Source organism: Homo sapiens, chromosome 13, assembly GCF_000001405.40.
Source record: "Homo sapiens chromosome 13, GRCh38.p14 Primary Assembly".
Classification (NCBI taxonomy): domain Eukaryota; kingdom Metazoa; phylum Chordata; class Mammalia; order Primates; family Hominidae; genus Homo; species Homo sapiens.
The window spans coordinates 111,202,204-111,219,818 of record NC_000013.11 but is presented as its reverse complement, the minus strand read 5'-3'; the positions used below and the strand labels follow the sequence as shown (position 1 = coordinate 111,219,818).

The 17,615-nt window shown below is 44.7% G+C and overlaps 1 protein-coding gene across 56 annotated transcripts in view, besides 6 other annotated features; it reads right to left on the bottom strand.

The window, feature by feature from the left end:
- The window catches only part of ARHGEF7 (Rho guanine nucleotide exchange factor 7), a 191,116-nt gene that overhangs the window by 85,916 nt on the left and 87,585 nt on the right, over nucleotides 1-17,615 (bottom strand). For 34 of the 56 annotated variants that reach the window (XR_007063704.1, XM_047430722.1, XM_006719956.4 and 31 more), the window contains 3 exons: nucleotides 14,446-14,530; nucleotides 9,817-9,947; nucleotides 1,939-2,140 (listed from right to left, as the gene is read on the bottom strand). Coding sequence is in view for 55 of the 56 variants with exons in the window: in XM_047430722.1 (XP_047286678.1) it covers nucleotides 1,939-2,140; nucleotides 9,817-9,947; nucleotides 14,446-14,530 (418 nt within the window). In the remaining variant the exon portion in view is untranslated. Of the gene's footprint in view, nucleotides 1-1,938; nucleotides 2,141-9,816; nucleotides 9,948-10,472; nucleotides 10,485-14,445; nucleotides 14,531-16,701; nucleotides 16,760-17,615 lie in introns of those variants that run through there. The other 22 variants (XM_047430726.1, XM_017020815.2, XM_047430728.1 and 19 more) reach the window with 5 other exon arrangements.
- Nucleotides 4,345-4,879: an enhancer, noted in NCBI's record as "NANOG-H3K27ac hESC enhancer chr13:111867287-111867821 (GRCh37/hg19 assembly coordinates)". NCBI's record gives its function as "activates a minimal SCP1, AML or CMV promoter by ChIP-STARR-seq in naive H9 embryonic stem cells {active_cell/tissue: H9 hESC(naive)}" and the evidence as "EXISTENCE:reporter gene assay evidence [ECO:0000049][PMID:30033119]".
- Nucleotides 5,415-5,950: an enhancer, noted in NCBI's record as "H3K27ac-H3K4me1 hESC enhancer chr13:111866216-111866751 (GRCh37/hg19 assembly coordinates)". NCBI's record gives its function as "activates a minimal SCP1, AML or CMV promoter by ChIP-STARR-seq in naive H9 embryonic stem cells {active_cell/tissue: H9 hESC(naive)}" and the evidence as "EXISTENCE:reporter gene assay evidence [ECO:0000049][PMID:30033119]".
- Nucleotides 7,604-8,131: an enhancer, noted in NCBI's record as "OCT4-NANOG-H3K27ac hESC enhancer chr13:111864035-111864562 (GRCh37/hg19 assembly coordinates)". NCBI's record gives its function as "activates a minimal SCP1, AML or CMV promoter by ChIP-STARR-seq in primed H9 embryonic stem cells {active_cell/tissue: H9 hESC(primed)}" and the evidence as "EXISTENCE:reporter gene assay evidence [ECO:0000049][PMID:30033119]".
- Nucleotides 12,954-13,453: an enhancer, noted in NCBI's record as "H3K4me1 hESC enhancer chr13:111858713-111859212 (GRCh37/hg19 assembly coordinates)". NCBI's record gives its function as "activates a minimal SCP1, AML or CMV promoter by ChIP-STARR-seq in naive H9 embryonic stem cells {active_cell/tissue: H9 hESC(naive)}" and the evidence as "EXISTENCE:reporter gene assay evidence [ECO:0000049][PMID:30033119]".
- Nucleotides 13,454-13,955: an enhancer, noted in NCBI's record as "H3K4me1 hESC enhancer chr13:111858211-111858712 (GRCh37/hg19 assembly coordinates)". NCBI's record gives its function as "activates a minimal SCP1, AML or CMV promoter by ChIP-STARR-seq in naive H9 embryonic stem cells {active_cell/tissue: H9 hESC(naive)}" and the evidence as "EXISTENCE:reporter gene assay evidence [ECO:0000049][PMID:30033119]".
- Nucleotides 17,074-17,123: an enhancer, noted in NCBI's record as "active region_8029". NCBI's record gives its function as "activates an Ori minimal core promoter by ATAC-STARR-seq in GM12878 lymphoblastoid cells {active_cell/tissue: GM12878}" and the evidence as "EXISTENCE:reporter gene assay evidence [ECO:0000049][PMID:35858748]".

The window sequence follows — 17,615 nt, the reverse complement described above, 5'->3', positions numbered from 1 at the left end:
AAAGTACTTTATACATTAACTGGAACATAACAAGCAGCCGGAAAAAAATTCTGCCCAAGTCGATTTATTATAATAAAAAATACTGCCTTTTAAATTATCATTATTAACAACTACAAAAAACAGTAGCAACTTCACATCCAACAGGATGGCTATTACTTTAAGAAAAAAAAAAACAAGTTGGCGAGAACACAGAAGCAGCAGAACCCTGTGCACTGCTTGTGGGAATGCGACATGGTCCAGCCGCTGGGGAAAACCACGTGGCAGTTCCTCCAGACTTAATCACAGAACCACCATCTGACCCAGCAATTCCACTTCTGGGTATATACAGAAAAGAACTGAAAAGCAAGGACTCAAATACTTACACAACCATGCTCCTAGCAGCATTATTCACATAGCCAAGAGGTGAAAGTAACCCAAGTTCCCATCAACACACAATGTTGTACATACATATGATGAAATATTATTCAGCCTTACAAAGGAAGGTAACTCTGTCATATGCTACAGCATGGAAAACCCTCCAGCACTTTATGCTGAATGAAATAAGCAGTCAAAAGACAAAATGACTGCACTTACACGAAGCACCAACGGTAATCAAATTCAGAGACAGAAAGCAGAATGGTAGAGGGCAGGGGCTGGGGAGGGGAATGGGGACTGTTTAATGGGAACAGAATTCAGTTTGAGAAGAAACAGTTCTGGAGATAAACGGTGGTGATGGTTATAAAACTGTGAATGTACCTAGTGCTACTGAACAGTACACTTAGAACTGGTAAAAATGGCGAACTGCTTTACATATATGTATACATATACATACAATAAGAACAGGCAGGTGCTGTTCCTAAAAATTCCAACACCAGAGAAGTTTACAAATAAGGGCTGCCATCTGCCTTATTAAAATACTTGTTTTCTGAGGTCACTGAGAAAATATTTTTACATCAAAATTGTCATATTCCCATTTGTAAATCTTTTTTTCTTGCTACCTTAGAAAAACAATAGCAGCCATTAACATTCCCTGAGCTCCTACTCTGCCAGACTCCATACACATAGTATAAACCTTAACAATTCAACCCCACAAGACCGCACAAGGGAGAACTATCATCCTCATTTTCCATATGAAACACCTGTGGCTCTGAGGCTCAGTCACCCAAGCCCTAGAGCAGAGCTACAATTTTGTATCATGTCCTTTCCACAGCTCCCTGTGTATCAGCTATTCTCTGTAAGTCACTCTTTCCCCAGCAGAATCTGAGGAACTGTAGTATACAACGGTGTTTTTCAACTACAGGGCAGGATGCAAGTAAAGTGACACACATGATTGTTCCCTTCACAAATCCCACCCCCCACCTCTGTCCACCCACCCACACGCTTCCACAAGAAGCACGACAGCCCGGCAGCCATAGCCATGTGCCGAGGATCACTATTCTTTCATAAGAACACAAGCCTCAAAATCGGAAAGTCAGTGAAACAATGTGAACAACTACAAAACATAAGGAAGCAATGCATTTGTAAAATACTATCACTAGTACAAAGAGAATGACAGAAATTACTTCATTGCACACCACTGCCAAAAGTACCACCCATAGTCACAAAAATTAAACACAGCCTGCGGACTGCCAACTCCAAGTCCTGACACTAGCTCTTAAAAAAAAAAAAAAAGATCAATTCTTTCACAGTAAAACTGCAATGATAAAGATTCGAGATGTTTCTCTTCACGTCTGGAAAATGCCAGGATGAAAGGAAATGCTGGCTAGTAACTAGAGAGCCCTTGATGCCAGGGCCCCAATGTGGGGCTGAGGTGAAAATCCATTACATCTAACAAAAAACTGTATCCTAAGACCAGGTCATTTGCACAGGTCCAGCTGGAGAGTAAACACTATGTCAAGTACATTTACTTCTTTCTGCTCATCGCAAAAAGCCACACACAGCCCAGGCTCGGCCACTTACCGCTGGCCTTGACCTCGCGCACGTAGTTGCTGGGGAACCAGCCGGTCCGGCCGTTGAGTGTGCCCTCCCACCAGCCTCCCTCTTCCACACGGGTGACATGGATGACGTCTCCTTTTGAGAAGGAAAGCTCGTCCTCATTGGTCTGCTGGAAGTTAAACTTTGCTCTTACTACCAGTTGATTGTTGCTATTATCGGTCATGTCCTAAAAGGGGAAGAAGAGTGGGAGAAAAATTATACCAAGAACAGTCTACTTCATTATAAAATGGATTATACTTTACTAGTACAAAGGTAGCATAATTGCCCAACAGTAGAAATACATTTAGAGAAATTTCAGTTTCCTCCCTTCCAGTGCCCCATGACCACCACCAGCACCACTCCAGCCCCAGAGGACACCCTCTTCACAGCATTCAAAGGTCCTGGTCTGCCACTGTGATGCCTAATCAGACACATCCATGTGACAGAGACAGAGTCACACTACACGCACTTCTCCACAAGTCACAAAAGTTAAGACAACATGTCATTTATCTGGCAGTACTTACTGGTGCTTACATAACACTTAATGTTATGCTATATGACTATACCACTCATTATGGAACCCACTCTCCATTAGTGGATTTTTAGATTATTTCCAGTATATTTCCAGATACCATATACAGTACTTTCCTTGTGTAGACAAGGCTGCATTAAAAATATTTGTATGTCTATCTTTGAATATACCTGTAAACCAGCTATACATTAAATTCTGGTCAGAAGACATATTTATTACAGTTAACTTTTTAATACATCTTTCTAAATTGTCCTCCAAAAAGTTTCTACAAACTACACCAAGCAACATCCCCAGCAACAGTATCTAAAAGTGCTCATTTCAAACTTCCACCAACACTCAATATTGCCAAACTGACAAGAAACAGTACCTCGTATTTTAATTCGCATTTTTCTCAGAAACTGTGCATATTTTCAGATTTCTGAAAGGCAGAAAGAGGAAGGCAGAGGGGCTGGGGCCTGTTTGATTTCCATCTGCCCCGGACAGAGCTCTGGAGGCTGGAGATGCAGAACTACCAAAGCGCACAGCCTGACAACCCTAGGAGAAGCCTGCTCGTGCCGGCACAGGAGCAAGAAAAGGGCCGCCTGGCAGACCTCAGCCCCGGCCCACCCCTCTTCCCTACCACTGATGGTAAGCGAGCCCAGCCCACCTGCAACGCAGTGTCCCACAGACTGCACAGAACGTTCAGAGCTCTAGGGAACACCAGCGACATCAGCAGAGTCCAGGCCTCTATCCCCACCAGCAACATCAGCAGAGTCCAGGCCTCTATCCCCACCAGCGACATCAGCAGAGTCCAGGCCTCTATCCCCACCAGCGACATCAGCAGAGTCCAGGCCTCTATCCCCACCAGCGACATCAGCAGAGTCCAGGCCTCTATCCCCACCAGTGACATCAGCAGAGTCCAGGCCTCTATCCCCACCAGGTGGCAGCAGGTGATTCCATCTGCCCACACTGGCTTCTCCCTGCCCTCCACCCAGCCACAGGGAAGGCCTGAGACCACCCACACTTCTTGACATACAGCCCCCGCTCTACCACTAGCAGGCCAATCATCACCCCCCCATCCAGCAACACTCAGTCCCAGGGACTTGTGGGAAATAAAAGAACTTCAAACACTGGTATCAGTCTCAGAAGCTGAGTCTAAGAGGGCAGAGCTGAAAAGCAGGGTAAGAAAATATGGCTCAGAATATCCCAAATTTGACAGAAGACATAAATATACCAATCCAGGAACCTGCGTGAACCCCAACTAGTATAAACCTAAAGAAATTCAAACCAATTCATACCATAAATTAAACTTCTGAAAACTAAAGACAAAAAAGTTATTAATAAAACAGACACCTGCAGATATACAAGATCTCAAAAATTTACCTCCCACGCACCACTTTCTGAAGGAGTTAAAAATGTGCTTCTCCAAAACAGGGGAATTAACAAAAAAACTGAAAAGAAAGAGGCAGAGGAGATCTACACAGTCAGGGGGAGTGTCCCAGGTGACAATGGAAGGCGGCTCAGAGGCAGCAGCTGTGCGGCCAGCCTGGCTCACAACCAAGAGAGATTCAAGTAGGGCACAGGCTCCAAGAGCTTAGTTAATCGGGAAGAGAAGAGAAAAATTAATGTGTTTGAATGTCAAAGAGACCCTTAGAAATACGCAAAAGACTAGATCTGCAACCTGCAAAACATACACAGAAAACTAAACAAAGAAACGAGAATTACTAATTCTCGAAAACAAAATATTAGAAAGGTAAGAACAGTCATAGCATACAACGTGGCTCTGCTCCAAATATTATTCGCCTCGTCATGTTACCCTGAACACCGATCTCAGTGAAACCAGGGTGGAACTCAGCCATGGGGACGACAGGCCTAGGCATTTATGCAGGTCAAGGGGCCAGGGGAGGAAAACAGCACCAGCCCCTCTTTCTCTGTGGGAGTCCACATTGATATCACCCCAAATTAAGGAAAAACAAAAAAAAAGGGCACTTTATTTAGAGACACACAGGCAAATACCTACAAAGCACCAACGGAGGAGCAGGACAGCCAAATACAATCCTCCAGCAAGATCGCCCCCTCAGCCCCGCAGGACACCAAACTTAACAACTATCCGCATTAGAAAGCACTCCTTAAGAACCAGCACTCAGAAGTCATGGATGCTAGAGGGGACGGATGCCCCCAGTTACTCTGATATGATTATGACGCATTGTATGTCTGTATCAAGACAGCTCGTGTACCCCATAAATATAGATGAACTATGCACCATAAAAATCAAAACAAAAAAAGAACTAGTGGAAAAAAATTAAAAGTGGCCGTCCCTACTGTTTTTTCCTAATAGCAGGTCTCAGCGAATCACCTGACTTTAAGTGAATGTATAAATCACTGAAAAAAAAAACATTTTTAAAAGGTAAAGCATCAAAGCAAAGAGGTCACAACAGATCCTCAATAAGGAGTAGCTGTAATATTATTCCAAAAATATTTAATACTTATCTATTTAAATGTGTTTACAGATTAAGTATTAATTATAAATATGTATTTAGTAATTCAAATTCATAAGTGAAATACTTAATGCATATTTCATATTTAATCAAGAAGCCTCTCTTCAGTGTTTGGCAACAAAAGCGCCAGCGAACAATTACCAGCGCAGACACAAAGCTCTCTGGGCCCTGTGACCAACAAGGGGCAGGGTCAAGTTTGCCATTGCAACTGAAGATCCCATCCAGAAACTGTCACGTGTTCCTTGCTCTTGTGTGGTGAAACGTGACCCGAGTTCACTGTGCTATGTCAAGTTCTCTTTTTGCAAACCACCATCTCCACTCACTAGCTGTCTGCTGTGATCGCGACCATGCTCTCCTGTAAGTAATCCAACGTCACCTGGGCACGCCGGCCTTGTGGAAAACAGGCTCACAGTGCATGCACCCTGGTGATCAGCTCCAATGCCAGAACACAGCTGTGGTGAGCAAAGCAACGCAGGCGCAGCAGGCCCCTTCCCAGGTCAGGTGCCCGAGATCACCCTTGGCCAGCCCTGAGGCTCCAGCCAGCACCAGGGCTGAGGCCAGGGCAGGCCTGAATGGAAGCAGAGGGGAGATGAGGTATGATCAAGAGGCAGCGGAGTTCCACCTCAGTCTTGAGTGTGCAAATGCATGCACGCTCTACACTTAAGGTACGGGTGAGGGAGGCACGCCTACTGACATTACTTCATCAATGCAACACCCCAGAAAGAAAGGGCGGCGTCTAAGAGAGCGGGGAATCCAAGGAAGGGTACAGGGGGCAGGCAGCTGTTTCAGATCCAGGTATCCAGGTGAAACGTCGCAACATACCTCCATTCTTCAGCAGTCATTACACTGAAGGACATGTGGGCTCTGTAATGTTCTTTCTGCCTATTACTCTCAAGACAGGTTACTTAGAACATGCCAAGAAGTGCTCCATCAGAGCGCAAGATGCATGGGACTGGCTGGAAAAGGGTGTCCTAGAAAAGGCTATATTCCAACTACACACTCTATACTACCACGTTCAGCCTAAAATCACGGCAGCTGAGTGAGGGGTCCGTTCACTGTCAGTAGTGTTACAGGAAGCTGGAAGAGATGGATTTCATCACTATTTTATCATTGTGGGGTTTTTTTCCCTTTTTTAAAAAGCTCTCCTGAAACTGTAGCTTGTTACCTGTCTGGACTCAACATGACACTCTAAGGGAATCTAAATCATTCAGTTGAGAAAAACAAGCCAGTCGTTACAACAACAACAACAAAAGGATATGCCACAGAATCCCATTGCTAAAAAAAATACAAAAATGGATAAAACTCATCTTCACCATCAGACATCAGGACAGCAGATACCTTGGGGAACGCAAGCTCCATCGAGGAGTTGGAGGCTGGTCATGCTCTGCCTCCTCATCTGGGTGCTTACACGGGAATGTTCCATGTATAAAACTTCATCATGCAATACATCACGCTGTATGCACACAATACATGAACTGGTTTTCTATGTACGTTACGTGTCAATAAAATTTAGTAACTGGAGGGGAGTGAAGACAGTTCCCCCACTGCCCTAACCCAAAGGGAGAAGAGACCCCATCCAGGCACACACGACCTGGCCGGGCACAGTCATCTATGCCCACCATGCTCCTTAACGGCCTCTTTCTGATGCCTGGAGCCAAAGCACCACCCATCAGTATCTTGGATATTAATCACCTGATTACTTTATTGTATCCCATGTTCTGAAATTACCCTAACAATCCAAAACCAGGACACTCTGGAGTGCTGCTTCACACCAACAATACCCTCTCCTCCGCTCTCTAAGAGCACCTATAATTTCCTTTACAGAAGGAGAAATGCTTGCCAAAGGACGGAGACACAATTTTTACTCCAACTTTACTATTTCTGAGTGCTGTGATCTTGGGTAAATATCTTCTCTAAGCTTCAGTTTCCTCATGTCAACCAATATAAGATGCCAAAAATTAGACAATGCCTTTATATTCCACCAAATACTGTCAATTACATTATGGCATACCATCAACTGTAAGATACACGTACTTCCAGATGTGTTAAAATGACTTAAAAAGAGAAGTCTTTGAATTGACAAAATATGGTATATGAAAATATTTAACAATGTGTACAATACATTTGGATATAATTTCTTGCATGTCTTGGAAATACACTCGGTGACTGGTCCAAAGCCAAGGTTAGCTGCCAGCATCAGGACTGTGCCAGACGTACAGGTCCCTGGTTTCCAGAAGCAGAAGCAGCACTTTAAGAAATCAAGTCACCTCTCCCAGAAATGAAGGATGATGGGGACAATCACCTCACAAACGCCATCCCCAAACTCTGAGAACAGCATTCAGCACTCAAGGCTGTACCAATCAGCAGCCAGCAGTTGAAGACTAAAAGCACAGCAGTCACCAGGAATTCCAGCGGTGTCGAACAAAGAGTGAAGTATGAACTCATGCCTTATCTATGAGAAAAACCATACCTAAATCTACAACTGGCGCCTACCACATTCTTCACCACCGAGGCCCATCACAGAGCCGAACTGGATAAAGAGCTCGATTTAGTTCAGCCTCTGGAAGTGGGTAAGAACTCTCCCCTGACTGTTCTTTCCTTGGAATGGTGGAGGGGCACCGCAGACAAGTGAAAACCTCCACTGCAGTGCAAAGCAGTAAACGCAACATCAAACTGTTCAAGCCTGCCTATATCCCAAGACAGGAAATCTGTCCCGAGGCAGGGGGCTGACGGTTTCACAGATGAAAAACAAGCTTATAAAAACAACCAGCAACTGCAGTGGTGGCTGGAGGACACATTCTTACACTGAAAGGGAGGCAGGTAATGAAGGAGCAACACAAGAGCAAAGGGGCATAAACAACACCAGCCCCTCAGAACACAGATCCTCGCCTGGGGGATGGAAGCGTCTTACGCAATCTCAAAGCTTAGGTTTAATATGATCTCAAAACTGACATTCAAGAAACTGCAAGTTGCCTTTTAGCTTAACTTTTTATCATGGAAATGTTCAAATGCACACAAAAGGAGAGAGTGACAGGTGGCCCTCCATGCATCCACTGCCCAGCTTCAAAGGAATGTTAGGCCATTCTTGTTTCAAGATAAGTTCTTAATTTTTAATCCAAGAAAACTACTACAAAGTGCTATCGATAAACTACACAGAAAAACCTAAGGGTAAAGAAACATTCATTCTTACCTAGCATGGCTGAGAGAGGTCTTGCACATTCCATCAAAGAGAAAGCAGCTCTCTAGCACCCAATCAAAACATCAGCCCAAAAAGACTTCACACAGGTCAGAGAGCGCAAGTCTATTTCTAGTATAACGAAATTTCAGCAGCTAATGAAAAATTAATCCAATACTTACTATGATCTCAGTAACATTACCAACAAACATTACATTTAACTTTATTTTACTTAAAATTATACATTTGTAATCTAGTCCTCTACTCAAAAAGAAAAAAAAATCAGATGAAAATTGCCACCAGTGAACGGGTGAGACAGCAAATCACAGCTTTACCCAAGGCGAGCTGATTTCTCTTATGTTTTCCTCATGTGTTTTACAGAGCTCATTTCAAGTGTGTTTAAAGTGGTTTGTTTAGTCCTCTTTAACTTGGAATCCTAATGCTCCCAATGGTAGTCCACAGAATTCTTCCAGAACAGGCTCCTGCAAAGCAGGAAACAGCAACAGCCAGGCCTCTCGGGGCTGCTGTGAGGACTGCAGCACTCAGGCCATGCAGCCCACCGCCCACCACGCCTGAAGCAGTCAGACCCCTCGGGGATCCTCTAAGAGGAGACACAGCAATGATAGCGAGCTTGAGTTCAAAAAGTTCAGAAACATAAAAATCACATTCCTCGCATATCTTTCCATTTTTCACACATGCTTCATAAACCACTGTAATTTATTTCCCTCTACAAATCACGACTCTATCTAAATTAACTTTTATTTCTTGAGGACCACCATCAGCTTACTTAGCAATACTCCCCCATGTTAAGGCAGAGGAAAATCCATGGACCCTTCATGACTCTAGAATAGGGTTCTCTCTAGACTCACGTTACAAGATCACTATGTTTCTAACAAAGTATGTACTGTCGCGAGAAAGCAGTGGTATCCCCAGCAGCCAATCGAAGTCACTGCCCGCCAGCTGCAGCTCAGAGAAGGGTGCAGGACTGCAGAGTGGCAGCCCTGGCTCTGCCCCAACACTCTACAGGCAGCCCTGTTTAACCCTGCTTGAGTTTCTCATTTTCAACTTCACTATTACATTCCATGGGCTTTACTCACAGCCTGTATCCTGAGCATTTTTAAACGAGTATTTTTTCACTCTCCACGACAACTGTTCGATCATCTAAGTTTCTTTCTCTGCGTCCCAATCAGTCATTCTAAGGGATTCCCTCCCCTGTAAACTAAATCCTGACTTAGTAAAGCACACTAAGCCATGCTTTCATGAAGAGAAGAAAGGCCAGATTCTTTAGTTTTAACCATCTCTTCTTTACGGAGCTGAGTACTTTTCCATACATATTTCTTATTCTCAATATTTCTGTACATGTGCATAGCTGATAATGCCATGCAAATGACAAGGGGTGTGTTTTTTTAAAGCAGCATCACTCCAGATATCGAGTCATGAGTCTTGCAATACAACCTAAAAACAAATGAGTTTCTCAAAAGCAATCATTAAGCATAATATCTGGATCATCTGGTAATGAGCAAATGCCAAACCAGATTACAGGCACAACGGAGGCGAAGTCCAGCTACCTTTGCCCTGTTTAACACCATTAATGGAGGCATACGTATCTTCTCAGATATATCCATACACACTCATATCCTTCCCAAACATATTTAAGTAACAAAATCTCTCAAACTTACCAAACTCCGATACTGGCCCTGGAACAGTTTTGAAGTCCGAGTGTGCAAAGACTGTGATCCAAGGGAGTCAAAAGACTTTATGCGGTGAGACGAGGGCCGGGCACACACGGAGTCACTCCCCAGCCCGATGTCTGCAAAGAGCATGCACACAGAAAAAGAGAGCTGAGAGCGCCTGATACCACGCACCCACACTACACACTAGACTTTAAAACTAGGGCAGCACAGAGGGACACACCAAAAGACCACAACAAAGCAGCCCATTTATGCAGAAAACAAAGAACAAATTATTTGCTACATAAATGACTTGCATTCATTCCCCAACTACCTTTCCAGAAATTATCTGGAGATAACTATTAATCAGTTCTTCTCTAATATAATTTTCAAAAGTTTGTGAAATGTATTATAACTTTTAAAGATTTTCCCTTCACCTGGAAAAAAAAGCCTCTCAAATTTGATTATGGAGCGGAGAACAACCAAGTACTGATTCTCCAAAGCATCACCACCACATGCCCACTTTTCCAGGACGATGTGTCATGCAATAAGCAACAGAAGGAAAAGACTCTTATTTAAAAGAGAAAATCCAGTGTATTTTTCAGCCAGAGAGAACCTTGTGAGGATTATTTCCCCAACACTAAGGCAGCACAGGCTCTACTCACCTCATGAAGTTGCTGACAGAATCAAAGTAAACAGACAGTAAGAGGCTTAGTTCTGTTCTCTGGATCTCCCTTCATAAGACACTCCACACAGGCCATCCAACAAATAAATAATAGCAATTTATTCTTAAAAGTGACTCAATTAAAAAAAAGAGAGAATGAGGCTGTGAAAAACTTTGCTGGGAAAATCGCTGTTCTGAGAGGCACGTGCCCGGCCATGTCCTAAACTCCAGGGAGGCTTCCATGAAAGCAACCCTAAGTCTCCAGGTCCCAGCTTCCTCCCAGGTGTTTGGATTGGCTTGCACGTATCTTATAAAATTCTGAATTAAACGGTCAACATCGAAAAGTCTGAAGGTATCACCAAAAACCCAGATTCCCCACTGCTCTTGACACATTTAGGATGTGGCCACACCAGGTCTATATCCCATCAGGTAAAGCTGGCTCAGAGCTGGGCAGGGGCTGTCCTGAGAGGACCCAGCACCCATGCCCTTCCATCCAGCTCCTCCCTTCACGCCACCTGCCTGACCCCACAGATGGGGGCTTGCTACTCCAACGATCTTAAATTCTTCTCAGGTCACCCCCTCACCCTACACTTCCCAGGACCTGCTGAGGGCAGGTTACGAGTAATCTCTATAGAGCACATTCTGCTTGAGAACACAGGGGTCTCAGGCAACCCGCAGCACAAAACCAGCTAAAAGGGCATTTCCAGCAAATTCTACAGGGCTCCCGGCCATGGTCTGCAGTGCTCTGCTGGCCACAGCCTTCCAGGAAATTCTCATACAAGGAGGGCCATCCTGAAGACATTCTGTACTTCCCCATCACCAAGCTTTCTTCTATCCAATTAAAAGGCCAGTTACAGTCAACTAAATGCCTTGAGAACACATATGATTTTAAGAGACAGAAGCAGAAAGACAATGACAATTTTCCCAAGAATGTCCACAGTAACTGTGGCTGCTGCAGTTGTCTTACTGTTTGCCAATCAAGGAAAGCTGAAATCTAGAAAGAAACGAGGCCAGGCGCAGTGGCTCATGCCTGTAATCCTAACACTTAGGGAGGCAGAGGCTGGTGGATCACCTGAGGCTGGGAGTTCCAGACCAGCCTGACCAACATGGAGAAACCCCGCCTCTACTAAAAATACAAAATTAGCCGGGTGTGGTGCCACGTGTCTGTAATCCCAGCTACTCGGGAGGCCGAGGCAGGAGAATCGCTTGAATCCAGGAGGCGGAGGTTGCGGTGAGCCAAGATCATGCCATTGCACTCCAGCCTGGGCAACAAGAACGAAACTCTGTCTCAAAAAGAAAACGTACGGGTATTGCCTTCCCACTGACTTCAAAAACAAAAACAAAGGGCAAACAGAAAAGCAAAGCATTCCTTCCATCTAGGAGGGGTCATTCCTATAGTTTAAAAGCTTAAAAGTACCAAGTTTATGTGGTAACTTCCAAATTTGTCTTTGTAAAGAACAAAGCTATCTATTTTACATCCAACACATAGCCAATGATACCAAGAACATATACAAAATACATTTCCATAAGGTAGAGGTAAAAACTAATAGCCTGAGAGCTACTGGATTCTGACTTCTCTTATTTACTTGTAAATCCTACCGTCTCAAACCTAGATGGTTGACAATCCCAAGACTGAGTGTACAAATTAAAGCCATGTTCTAAAGCCACTTCGTCCTAATTAGCACCCCCACTTACAGCAAAAGCAGAGAAAACATCTACAATGAAATTCAAAGTTACTATCTTCTGCTCCTGTGAGCAACCTCTAAAAAAGTATTCAATGGGAGCAGAGTCAAATTAAGGATTACTTGTAGATTTTACATATCTGTGCTATTGCCCCATCTGCCACAGAGATCTACGTTAATTATAAGGCACATCATTTAGGACAGGCATGGTGGCATAAGCCTGTAATCTCAGCACTTCGGGAGGCCAAGGCAGGCAGATAGCTTGAGCTCAGGAGTTTAAGACAAGCCTGGGCAGCACAGCGAAACCCCATCTCTACAAATATGCAAAAATTAGCCAGGCACAGAGGCACACACCTGCAGACCCAGCTGCTGAGGAGGCCGAGGTGGGAGGACTGCCTGAGCCCAGGAGGCTGAGGCTTCAGTGAGCTGAGATCACACCACTGTGTTCCAGCGTGGACGACAGAGCAAGACCCTGCCTCCATAAAAAATAATTCAAAACTCTGAGGCATGGATGAATATGAGTTTGCAGGCAGATTCCCCCATGTGGTCAGGACACATGAATATGCCACTTCTGTACATCACCTGTTGCAGTATTTCTTGTATTAAATTCCAGTGATCCACTCTAAATGTATGTCCTTTTCAATGTCATCCATAACTTTAGATAAGTGATTTTCTTTTTTTTTCTTTTTCTTTTTTTTTTTTTTTAGATGGAGTCTCGCTCTGTCGCCCAGGCTGGAGTGCAGTGGCGCGATCTCGGCTCACTGCAAGCTCCGCCTCCCGGGTTCACGCCATTCTCCTGCCTCAGCCTCCCGAGTAGCTGGGACTACAGGTGCCCGCCACCACGCCTGGCTAATTTTTTTGTATTTTTAGTTGAGACGGGGTTTCACCGTGTTAGCCAGGATGGTCTCGATCTCCTGACCTCGTGATCCGCCCGCCTCGGCCTCCCAAAGTGCTGGGATTACAGGCATGAGCCACCACACCCGGCTGTGATTTTCTTATTGTTTGTTCATATTAAAAGGATCATTTTTAGATTGTAGAGACAGAGAAGGCATTAAATAATGTGACAATTTTCATTAGTTACATCCATCTTCATAATCCTGCCATTTAAATTTTTGTTTCCTCGATGCTTTCATCTGAACAGTCCTTTAAACCTCAGAAGTCAAGCTGTGAACACGCAGCCACAGCCACACCTCTGCCTGGGGTCTGCCCCTGCTCCCAGGGATGGGGGCCAGTGCCTCTCGCCGGGGCATCAGCATCAGCAGCAGCAGCATCAGCTTCCAGACAGCAGTCAGAGCACACATGCGCTGGGAGGCAGCACCAAGGACAGTCCCTGCACCACCGATGAAGCCTCCGGGAGCCAGGAACTGCAGCCCCAAAGCATGCATAACCCCCGTCTCTCCTCAATGTGCAGTGAGGCAAGTACACCCCCCCCTCTGAAGGGCCAGACGAAGCTGAGAAGCGACCCCGACAAAATCAACTCAGGAGGTTTCTGTTTGAAAAGGACACGGCACTTTCCCCCACAAACCTGATATTTAACATCCGTGAAGGTAAATAGGAAAAAAAAATTACTCTAATAAGACCAAAAAAGCAACTAAAAAGTTCCTTCCTTTTGAGCCACACAGAAATCCAAGAAAGAGCTCCTCAGGGCTCATGGAGCATTTCCTCCGGGGACCTTGGCATCATGGACAACATGCACCTTCCCTCAGAGGACCTGTCTGAACAACTCCTGTCTTCGCTGTGGCCCATGAGAGGGGCACACCATGTCCCCAAAACCTCCTCTCCACTTCAGTACTAATGGGGGCTAGGACCACACACACCATGTACCTGGGTGCCACAGCCCTCAGGAGCCCTGGACAGGTAGTGTGGACTTTACAGGCCAATCCACGAGCCACTCCCTTATCATGGTCACAGCTCAAAACTTCTGCCCACTAGATACAAATTTTAACCAGCATACACTCAGTAAAAACTGAGAGAAAGGTGCTTCTAGCTCCAACACAGCCCATGAGCCTTCCCATAAGAACTAGACACTTTTCTCCTGCTATACGTTCAGGTGAGAAATCTCTCCACCCACAGAAAGGAAAACACCTGATATATACCAGAACATTTAAAGAAGATTCTATTCTAACAAGGCAAATAAAATATCACAGCAAAAGGAACAATCAAAACGTAATGCAACAAAAGCTTATTTTTTAAATTCAGTAATGCTCCCCTGGCTTTGGTAAAACAAGAAAACCAAAGGTGTCAGCCCGTATGTCTTCCCACCCCCTCGAGTTCAATAAAAAAGAGTCTTACCTGCTGTTACTTTATTTAGAGTCACTAAGGAACTGAGGACCTTGTTAAAATTCTGCCCCTGATACAAATCATTTGCATCAAACGTCTGAAAGGAAAAATTAAACAAGCAAAATTAGTAGAGTCTTATGTTGGGTGCAGGATGAACTAAGTTCTCCCAGCAACGCGACGATGCTCAGCCTGAAATCCTAAGGAGACCGCACAACCTGCGACAGGGAGACCAGCACGCTCAGTCTCTCAGTCCTGAGGTAAGAACCCAATCAAAATTCTCCTACTTAGGTGCAGGGTCCCCCCTCGGCATTAGGCCAATTCCCTACCCAACACCCGCCCCTGCCCCTCTGGAGTGTGAGCTCATTCACGGGGGCGGGGCGGGGTGGGGGGGTGGGCTGCTGGCATTCAGCAAGCAAGCACGGTGCTTGCGCAATCCTCCTCTCCTTAGATTAACACAGAGGCCCCAGGCAAGGCGTGCTACAGATGTTCTTTCCTAGCCACAGAAAATAAGGGAAAATGACAGTCGATTCCAAAGCTAACAGCAGCAAAAGAAAATGCGGACATCAGAGAGCAGAGTGGATGTGAGGGTAAAAGGAGGACAGACAGGAGAAGCAGATCCCAGATAGGAAAGGGGCAGGGACAAGAGACCACCACCCTCAGAGCTCTGAGGCCAGAACCAGGCAAGCCCACAACCGCATCCCCTCCAGTCCAGGGCTATCTAGAGCCCTGGGACCACGATGGAGCTGGTCACATTGCCACTGGCAGGCACTTCCCACCACCATCCTGGAGCTTGGAAAGGTAAAGCACATTGGTTTGCCTAGGTATGTGGCAACTAGTGTCTAGAACGCGTGTGCACACACACAGCCATGTCAAAACAAACAGAGCTCTCATCTCAGATACTGCCCAAAGACTACATATGGCTTCTGATCACCAAATAACCTCAAGCAAAGATAAACAGTCAAATCGTCCACAACTATGTTCCAGAAAAATTAAGAAAAAAATTCTTTCAGAGGTGCCAATAACAGAAAGATACATTTAAAAACCAAAACGTGTATCCTGTTGCCATATGTTCTAACTGAGATTACCGGAAATAAGCATCAGTGGACAAGGGCCCCACCTTCTCTCCAGGGCTGTCGTCTCCTCCTGTCAGTCCTGCCCTCTCCCCACACCTCTAGCAGACCCTGCCAGAAGCCCCACTTCTTCCTCTTCCTGCCTTCGGTCCCTTCCCTTTCCTGGCTAATCCTTATTCATCTTGCTTCCTGACACAGCCCTGCCTTGACAGCCTGGCTGCCCCCACCACACCCGGTCAGGTCCCCAGCCAGGCTCCCCCAGAACACGTGTCATGATAGTTTGATGGTGGATGTCTACAGGCCTCCCTAGACTAAAAATCTGCAGTGGCAGATTGTACATCTCCCAACACCCAGCACAGGGGCCGGTGCACAGTGAAAAGGCATCCGAATGGAGACGTGCACCAGCATCCAACCAGCCACCCACCCTGCAGGCACCGCATGCTGCTGTAATGAAGCTCACGCCAAGAGAAGCTAAGAAAAGTGACACCAAATGTGAAAAAGTCCTGCTGTATTATTCAAAATTCATCTGCAGCTAAAGGCCTTCTGTCTATAATTTTCCAAATAAGTAAAAATAGTCATGAGATGTTTAAACATAAATAAAGAAGAACCAGACTTTGAAAAACTACCTCAAGAGAAAAACCCACCAAATCACTAAAAGAGTCAAGAAAGGAGCTGAAAACCAGAGGTCACTTTCTTAAAGTTCACAAGGAAATATCAGATGGAACCACAAAACGTAAAAGGAAAGCTGTGAACACATCTAAGCATTCTATGTGCTTACCGATGCCATTTCTAACAAAAGGCACAAAATATAACTGATTTCATGAAGCTAAATCCTTCCTTTAAAAAACAGTCCTTAGAACAGATAGTCTTTAGAATCATCTTTCATACAGAATACATTTGTTGTAATATTTATTATTTAAGAAGAAATCCCAACTCAAATGAGAGCAGCATCTAGGCTGACATAACCACCTATAACAAATACGGGTTAAGCTGCATTTTTTAAAAGGAATTAAATAGGCCTCAGCTTCCTTATATGCAAAACATAAAATTTCTCTTCATCATAACATTTTTAAATAGGAGATCTGAATGTCTTTCAGCTCTACAGATCTAATCTTAGTGCTCTGAAAATTCAAGTCATTTTTTATTTTGTCAATTTTGTATACTACAAAAAGAAATACATACATAAATTTCTACTAACCTTCATAGTGGCAAGGCAGCAAGTCACAAAACCCAGAATAACAGGATGTGAAAAATGTGAAGTTTCCTGTTATTCCAGAACTATATATCTTTCTTACTTGGATACCCAGGAAGCATCTGATTGGCTGAAACTGCCCACCAATGGGCTTCAATATGACATCAGAGTTTAAGTGAATACACACACCACACTTCTCAACAGGAAGCTAGACAATGAGATGAGGCAAATCCTTACCCCTGAGAGGGGGAAAATGCACATTCTCAGCCAACAAAATGTTTCGATTGAAGTGCTTCTCTAGAGAAAGATAACAGACTATTTCCTAAAATAGAAATCTATTCAACAAAAAACAGAAACAGAAAAATCTGAGTACAGAGAAATTTTGTACTATGGGAATAATAGGGAAGTCTCAAAACTTTTATAGAAATCTCTCTGCAAAAAGTAAATCAGTGTGTATGTAAGAATTACCATGACATTTAGCACACTAAATTGTTCCCTAGGGTTATTAAAACAAGTGTCTTAGACGGGATTCATTCATTCCCCACCATGACTTGCTGGGTGCTTTAGCAGTATTTCCACTCTTGGCAATGGCAAGGAGCAGCAGGAGGGAAGGAAGTACAAACCATATTCCATTGTCTCCAGGCCTCCTTTTGGAAGCCTCAGCCTCAGGAGCAGCAATTCTCAGCAGGAGCTACATGTTAAGACCTCCTGGGGGGCTGTAAAAGGGCAGGATACTCCAGCAGTGTTCTGGAGTCCAGAGACTCAAATCAAAATGCCAACCCTCTCCAAGTGACTCCAACACACAGCCAAGCGTGAGAAGCGCTCCTGGTGAGGTAAGGAAGGTCATTAGGAATCCTGCCCAGCTGAAGCCTCAATGCCAGCACAGGCACACTTCCTGCCACCTGCACTACCCCACACAG